We start from the raw sequence: 8,755 nt of genomic DNA, 5'->3' as shown, positions 1-8,755 counted from the left end.
CCAGGGCTCACAGCAGACAGCCCAATAATTTATGGAGTGAGCAGACAAGCAGGTTTCACTTAAGGAATATGTGGAGTGGCCTGGAGTGTTTCATTTTGTTTCTTCCTGGCCAACAATGCTTGTCTCTTCTGAAATAATGTTTCTTTTTCCTTTGAGCCTGGGTAAAGGTCTAGTTCCCTCAGTGTCTGCTCACTTTCTTTCTTAGGTGCCTATCCCCCATCTCTAAGAACAGATTTTCAGTTCAGCCTGGGGTAGGCATCACCATTCTCCATGTGTCCAATCCAGGCAAGTCTACCTCTGGAGTGCCTGTTCATTACTGATATGCTACATTCTACCTCTGCTACGAGGTTGCTGAAAAGCTAAAGTAGGATCATCTGTGAAACACTGGTATATAGCTCTGCCTTCACATACCTGGTTCTCATAAGAAGAAATGCCCTGTCACTGTTTCCTTGCTGGAAAATCCCTACTCGGTTTGTAACACGCAGCAAATGAATCAACTTTCTGCATGAATCATGCCCACACCTGAGAGAATCAGGTCAAAACTATTGTTCCCATTTTGCATATGTGGAAAATGAGGCTTGAGTAGAGCAAGTGAGACAGGCAGGTGGGACCAGGAAACATCACCTGGAATCTTTGACGCTAGACGGCAGAGAGGGGTCACCTGGGATTTTGTTCTCTCTGGTACAGCTCACTTTCCTTCCTCATGAATCAGTCCCTGGAGCATTGCTGTGCCAAACCCTTATCAACCTCAGCAGGGAAGGCGCCAGGTTCAAGAGGCCAAAGAAAAGACTCAGAATCAGCAAATGAGACACGGGGTTTTATTAGGGGCTTTCATACAGGGGGGAGAGTCCAGTGGCGGCAGGCTGGGCAGGAGAACCGCCTTATGGACAGAAGCAATCCAGTGACAGCAGGCTGGACAACGTAAACGCACAGCACAGTGGTGGTGGGCTGGGCAGGACAACCACAACCACTTGAAAACAGCATGCAGTTTATGGAGTATTTTCACTTAACACCCTCCCTGTAATGACCTCCACCTGACAACCTTCATTTACTGACCCCCCCCCCCCAACCAAAACTCAGATCCTCAATCTTCTATACAGCCCGTGTTCCACAGGACATGCCAGGGGCTCAGAGGTTCCTCATAGACAAGGAATGAATCACCAGATTGGCCACTCCTGGATTCCCGAGCTTGGAACAACACTCAGGTGTGTCTACCACACAGGGTCATTCTAAGGGTATGCTTAAGTTATTGCTGTCAGGTGCATTTACCCAACAGCATCTAACAGTGAAAGAGACTTCCACAGGGCAACATGCTGTGTTTAGCTAGCCCTATCTTTATTCTTAGGGGGATTTTTTTCCCAAATTCATATTTTATATTTTTGCTCAAATTTTTAACTGGTTTGGAAACCTGGGCCTCTATTTCATTGAATTTGAATGATGACACATATTTAAAAGTTTACCAAAACCTTCTTTGTCTCAAAAAAATCATTAAAGTACCATGAAAATACAAATAATTGTACTATTTGATACAGAAATAATTAATTAATTAAAAATAAAAGAAAATATTTTCAACCTCACTTTCTCTCGAAGGAAATTTTACTTATCATATTCTCTCTTTATTTCCCCCCTTCAGTTGATTGGATGTGTTATCTCCTTTCTGATTTTCTTCCTTCCTTCCTTCCTCTCTTTCTTTTCCTTCTATCTTCTGGTATGTTTCATTATTCTGCTCAGTTTTTTATTTAGCCATCATATTTTCAATTTTCAATAATTCTCTGTTCTCTGATTATTTATTTTTAAAAAGTAGTTTTATTGAGCCAGGAAAAAATATTTAATAAAAAACAGAAAGCATAAATTATATGTCTATTAATAAACAGAAATATTGCTTTCAGATGGCATTGAATTAGGGGATTATTCTGCTCTGGTAAAAACCAGGCTATCTATGCATCTTCTCCTGCTGCCGCATTTGTTCTGATGAAGAAACCAATTTTTGGAATACCTTCAGCACTGTCTGTGGGATATTTGCAGGGTGCACATATAAGAAGAAGATGTCTTCCTCAGTGTTATTTAACTCTGTGCAATAACAACTTAGGAACAGTGATAGCTAGAGCTAGAGAAGTATTTTCAGTGAAAACAGTGATGTCCGAACATTGAGCAATTGTAGACTGAATTCAAGAATTCACTGTAATTCACACAAAAGTCATTGTAAAAGGAAGTACTAATTTCTGGTAAAACAGATGCAATACTTAGAAAAAAATATAGACAGAGCATAACCAAATCTTAAAAGAAAAGTGTTTTGTCTCTACTATTGAACTTAGCTAAGGATTTCACCCACCCACAGTGAGGAGGGATTGGGGTTAACCTCAGAATTGCATCGTGTTTTAATCAGAGCTTTGGAAAAATACAGCCATGAGAAGCTAACTGCATAAATCGTAACTGTGCATAAATCATTCTGCAATGTGAATTCAACACTTTCAAATAAATTTCCTGTTGTCTTTATGAAGTTTCAATTATATCTTCTGCATTTACAAGCAGTCTGGTGGCCCATGCAAGGCTGTCCTGATTCAAATAGAATTCCTAAGAGTTGGTGTCTAGAAGGATCTATTTAACAATTCAGGATGTTCAGGATATTGAAAAAAGTGGCAATGTTTGTATAACATTTTTGAATTGCAAAAGCATTTTCATATTTGTCATTTCATGTGAGACTCCCAGAATCTTTGAAGGTAGGGATTTTTTTTTGGCTTACTTTTTAGCATCCTCATTTGGGAGATGAGAAACCCAAGGCTTGCAGGTACGCTGTGTTGTCTAAGGTGGTGCTGGCAAACCATTCTGGACTCCAGTCCTTAACTTCCAGAATCATCTCTTATTTGTTGATATGGTTTGGCTATGTCCCCACCCAAATATCATCTTGAATTATAGTTCCCATAATTCTCACGTGTTGTGGGAAGGATCTTGTGGGAGATAACTGAACCATGGGGGTGGTTCCCCCATACTGCTCTCGTGGTAGTGAATAACTCTCATGAGATCTAATGGTTATACAAGGAGTTTCCCTTTTTGCTTGCCTCTCATTCTCCCTTGCCTGCTGCCATGTAAGATGTACCTTTCACCTTCTGCGATGATCATGAGGCCTCCCCAGCCACATAAAACTGTGAGTACATTAAACCTCTTTAAATTCCTTATGAATTACCCAGTCTCAGGTTTGTCTTTATCAGCAGCGTGAAAATGGACTAATACATTAAATTGGTACCAGTAGAGTGGGGTGCTGCTGTAAAGATACCCAAAAATGTGGAAGTGACTTTGGAACTGGGTAACAGGCAGAGGTTGGAACAGCTTGGATTGCTCAGAAGAAGACAGGAAAATGTGGGAAAGTTTGGAACTCCCTAGAGACTTGTTGAATGGCTTTGACCAAAATGTTGATAATGATATGGACCATGAAATCCAGGCTGAGGTGGTCTCAGATGGAGATGAGGAAATTGTTGGGAACTAGAGTAAAGGTGACCTTTGCTATGTTGTAGCAAAGAGATTGGTGGCATTTTGCCCCTGCCCTAGACAGTTCTGGAACTTTGAACTTGAGGGAGATGGCTTAGGGTATCTGGCAGAAGAAATTTTTAAGCAACAAAGCATTCAAAGATGACTTAGGTGCTGGTGAAAGCATTCAGTTTTAAAAGGGAAACAGAGCATAAAGGTTCATAAAATTTGCAGCCTGACAATGCAATAGAAAAGAAAAACCTATTTTCCAAGGAGAAATTCAAGCTGGCTGCAGAAATTTGCATAAGTAATGAAGAGCCAAATGGTAATCACTAAGACAAAGGTGAAAATGTCTACAGGGCATATCAGAGAACTTTGAAGCAGCCCCTCCCATCACAGGCCCAGAGGTCTAGGAGGAAAAACTGGTTCTGTGGGTCAGTCCAGGGCCCTTCTGCTGTGTGCAGCCAAGGAACTTGGTGCCCTCCATACCAACCACTCTAGCCATGGCCACGGTACAACTCAGACCATGGCTTCAAAGAGTCCAAGCCCCAAGCCTTGGCAGCTTCCACTTGGTGTTGAGCCTGTAGGTGCAAAGAAGTCAAGAACTGATGTCTGGGAACCTTTGCCTAGATTTCAGTTGATGTATGGAAATGCCTGGATGTCCAGGTAGAAGTTTGCTGCAGGGGCAGGGCCCTCATGGAGAACCTCTGCTAGGGCAGTGCAGAAGGGAAATGTGGGGTTGAAGCCCCCACACAGAGTCCCCACAGGCACTGCCTAGTGGAGCTATAAGAAGAGAACCGCTGTCCTCCAGGAACCAGAATGGTAGATCCACCAACAGCTTGCACCATGTACCTGGAAAAGCTGCAGACACTCAGTGCCAGCCCATGAAAGCAGCCAGGAGGGAGGCTGTACACTGCAAATCCACAAGGGTGGAGCTGCCAAAGACCATGGGAACTCACCTCTTGCATCAGTGTGACCTGGATGTGAGACATGGAGTCAAATGAGATTGTTTCGGAGCTTTAAGATTTAATTGCCCTGCTGGATTTCAGACTTGCATGGGGCCTTTAGCACCTTTATTTTGGCTAATTTATCCCATTTGGAATGGGTGTATTTATCCAATGCCATTGTAGCTAGACCATTGTATCCCATTGTATCTAGAAAGTAATTAACTTGCTTTTGATTTTACAGGCTTATAGACAGAAGGGACTTGCCTTGTCTCAGATGAGACTTTGTATTGTACTATGAACTTTTGAGTTAATGCTGAAATGAGTTAAGATGTTGGGGGACTGTTGGGAAGGTGTGATTGGCTTTGAAATGTGAGGACATGAGATTTTGGAGGGGCCAGGGGCAGAATAATATGGTCTGGGTGTGACCCCACCTAAATCTCATCTTGAATTGTAGCTCCCATAATTTCCACATGTTGTGGGAGGGACCTGGTGGGAGATAACTGAATTATGGGGGTGGATTCCCCCATACTGTTCTCATGGTAGTGAAAAAGTCTCATGATATCTGATGGTTTTATAAGGGGTTTTCCCTTTCACTTGGCTCTCATCGTCTCCTGCCTGCTGCCATGTAACACATGCCTTTCACCTTCTGTCATGATTATGAGGCCCCCCAACCCCAAACATGTGGAACTGTGAGTTGATTAAACCTCTTTTTCTTTATAAATTACTCAGTCTTGGGTATGTCTTTATCAGCAGTGTGAAAATGGACTAATACATTTGTGTAGTCTTTTCTAGTTTCCCGACGGCATGGGAAGCTATTTACAGGTGGCTAACACTCATCTAGTCTAAGGGACCTCAGATATGACCAAAGCTGATGGTTTGGTTAGGGAGGGTCAGATTAATTGCAGTATTCAGGAAATTGAAGTTTCCAGAGGCAGGTTAGGGGAGCAGTGGTTCACCTGATCTCTTTGGGTCATCACAAGAACCCATCCAGGGCATGGAGCAGGAAATATAATCCAGACCCCCTTGGCAAACCCAAACTTGTTTCCTCTGTTCCTCTCCCACCCACAGCTGATGCTACTCATTGATGATGGCACCCTTTCTCATCTGTCCATCTCAGCTGGTGCCCTGCCATTACAACACAATAACCATTTCTGCTCCAGACCTTCATGGTGGGTGCAGAAATAAGCTGGCTCAACAGAGCCTGAGGGCCCCAGCCAGCAAGTCTAAGATTTTGAAGGAAAGCTACAATTCCAACAGAAATCAGCATGCCAGGCACAAACTGAAGAAACCCTCCAGTCATTCAACACAGCCTCAACGTTAGGATGTGATCAAAGCCTGACAGCCAACAGATAACCAGCCTTCATCCCAGCTCAATTAGAGGGCTATGCCTCAAACTGATTCCGTATCTAACTTGCTTTGTGTCTGATTTAGTTTCAAAGTTTTTCAGCACTGTTTAGAGGCTCAGAATTATGCCTGAAGTCATGAATACTCCAAAATATAGACCCTTTAAATAGGTGGCTGTCATTCCAGTGCAAGAGAAAGACAAGAAAACAGTGATAATATGATGTGTGAGTTTGATGTAGAGTGGAGGTGTAGGTATTTGGGAAAAACTTTCTGTAGGGTCTGCACCCTGGGTTGAAGAACAATACACTTACTCGTAGGAGGTCAGAACAAGATTTCTTTCCTTGCAGGTGGATGGCTTTAGTCAGCTTAGCAGGAAGGAATGGAAAAGGCAGGGAGGAGCAATGTAAGCCTACATAAAGCTATTCATTCCTCTACACAATGAAGGGCTCTCTCTCTCTCTCTCTCTGTGTGTGTGGGTGTGTGTGTGTGTGTTTGTGTGTGCATGCATGTGACATTTCTTGTAGCCAAAACTAGAGAAAATTTGATGAAGGTTTAATCACATAGCCTCATCCTCAAGCTGAGACCCTAAGACTGACCCAATGTGACTGTCAAGCTAACCAGAATATAGTCAAGTACAGTAGCAGGACAAAGAGACAGTAAAGCTCAGAGCTGCAAGGAACTAAGTGAGAAAACAAGTCAGAAGTACTTCCACCTCTAGGAAGATGAAGTAGACATACTTTTCCCTATTCTTCCTGCTAAGTGCAACTGAAAGCACTGAGATATATATTCTGAAAGACGGAAAGAAGAAGACTGTCTAGGAAACTCAAGATACAAGGAATTACACAGTGGCTGGTTTTCTGGGTTTTCTTTTAGCCACACATATCCCAGACTTGTAGCTGAAGAAGCTGGTAACCCAGAAACACCAACAGTCACAATCAAAAAAGCTTCTCAAAAGCTGGCTCTGTAGTCAAAGGGCCAGAAAGCAGCAGCCTAATAAGACAGAAATATTTTAGTCAATAACTTTTCTACTCCAGTCAAACACAACTGAGAGTATTGTGGCTACATGCTCTTCAGCAAAAGCCTAGTGAGAAGCTGAAACATCACCTTTACCCAGCGGTAGAGAGGTGCTTCGAGCCTCCCCTGTGGTGTCAGAGAAGGCTGAGTAGAGAGCCAGGACTCTTCCCCGCTGAGAAGCAATGAGTCCTTTCCCACCACTTCTATCAGTGGAGATCAGGTATGGAGCAGTACAAAGGCACCCTGCTCCTCCCAACCAGGGTGCTCTCAGCAGAGACTAGATGGGAGCCAGAACTTCTACCTTACCCTGACATTAATGAGTCCATGCTACTATTTTTCCCTGCTGCAGCAATGTCTAAGTAAGCCAATTAAAACAGAAAATTTAAGTAAGTTCCAGATCATCACAAAATAATACATACAATGTCCAGGCTGTCATTTTTAAAATATGCATATAAGAACAAAGGAAATCCCAATTTGAATTTAAAAAGACACTGACACAAGATGACAAATGCTGCAAATATCTGATACACAGATTTTAAAGCAGCCATCATGAAGAGACTTCAAGGAATAATTACTATATTCTTGAAACAAAATAGAAAACTCAGCAAAGAAATAGAAATTATGAAAAAGAACCAGTTTGGATTTTAGAAATGAAAAACACTGTAAAATGAAATAAAAAAGCAAACTCATCGTCTGGACTTATCAACAGAATGGAAAGGACAACAGAAAAGGGAATCAATGATCCGGAAGATAGAGCCATAGAAATTAGCAACTCTGAGCAAGAGAGAAAAAATAGTCTAAAAAAATGGACAGATACTCAGGGTTCTATAGTATTCTAGCAAAATATCTAAATATCCTGTCATTGAAGTCCTGGAAAGAGAAGAAAGGGAAAATTGGATTAAAAGTGCTCAAAGAAATAATGGCTAAAAACTTATCAATTTTGCGAAATATATAAACATGCAGATTAAAGAAGCAAAGTAAATCTCTTAACAGGAAAAACTCAAAAAAATCTACATCAAGACACATTATAGTCAAACTTCTGATAACTAAAAACGAATAAAATTTATTGAAAAGAGTGAGAGAAAGGACACCTTATTTGTAGTAAGAAAATATTTAAGTGATAAAGAATTTCTCATCAGAAACCATGGAGGCCTGAAGAAAGCAGCACATTTTTCAAGTATTAAAAGTAAAGAAACAAAAAGAAAAAAATGTACTAAATCCTATGTCCAGCAAGTATCCTTCAAGGATAAAGGGGAAATCAAGATGTTAGAAGAAGGAAAGCTATAAATATTTGTCGCTAACAGGCCTTGTAAAGGAAGAGCTAAGGGATGTTCTGTAAACAAAAAGATGATGAAAGACAAAACTTTGAAACATCAGAAAGAAGGAAAGAACAATGAAAAGAGTAAGTGTATGGGTAAACACAATACATATTGTTTCTCTTAAGTTTTTTATACTAGGTTTGGTGGTTGAAGCAAAAATTCTTGCATGGCTGATATGATTTTCAATGTATATAGAGAAACTACTTAAGACAATTATAAATAGTGGAGAAATAGAGATGTATAAAGAGGTAAGTTTTCTATACTTCACTCAAAGAGTAAAATCTCAAGTCGATATAGATTACAAATTAAAGCTACCAGTAAAAATTTATACAAATAAATACAATTTAAAACAATTTAAATAAATCAGAATGACATGTTACAAAACTAAAGACAGAAAGAAAACCAGGAAAATGTCAAAAAGGACAGAGAATAAAAGATTTATCTATAGTTACATCAAATGTAAATAGACTAAATATGCTAATTAAGATACAGAAGTGACAAGTATATAAAAAATTATGGTGCAATTATATGCTATCTACAAGGATCTAATTTCAAATATAATGATACATGTAGGTTGAAAGTTTTAGTTTGTAAAAATATGTAGAATTCAGAGCAAAGAGAATTATCAGAGAGGCACATTAGTGAATGATAAAAGGGTCAATCCAC

At 40.5% G+C, this 8,755-nt stretch overlaps 1 annotated feature.

The window, feature by feature from the left end:
- Positions 257–1,456: an enhancer, noted in NCBI's record as "P300/CBP strongly-dependent group 1 enhancer chr7:46690590-46691789 (GRCh37/hg19 assembly coordinates)". NCBI's record gives its function as "activates an origin of replication core promoter dependent on BRD2, BRD4, P300/CBP, MED14 and CDK7 cofactors, with strong dependence on P300/CBP, by STARR-seq in HCT116 cells {active_cell/tissue: HCT116}" and the evidence as "EXISTENCE:reporter gene assay evidence [ECO:0000049][PMID:35650434]".

The sequence above is a fragment of the Homo sapiens genome, chromosome 7 (genome assembly GCF_000001405.40).
Source record: "Homo sapiens chromosome 7, GRCh38.p14 Primary Assembly".
NCBI lineage: Eukaryota > Metazoa > Chordata > Mammalia > Primates > Hominidae > Homo > Homo sapiens.
The sequence above is the reverse complement of the archived record's forward strand: the minus strand, read 5'-3'. Positions and strand labels throughout refer to the sequence as shown.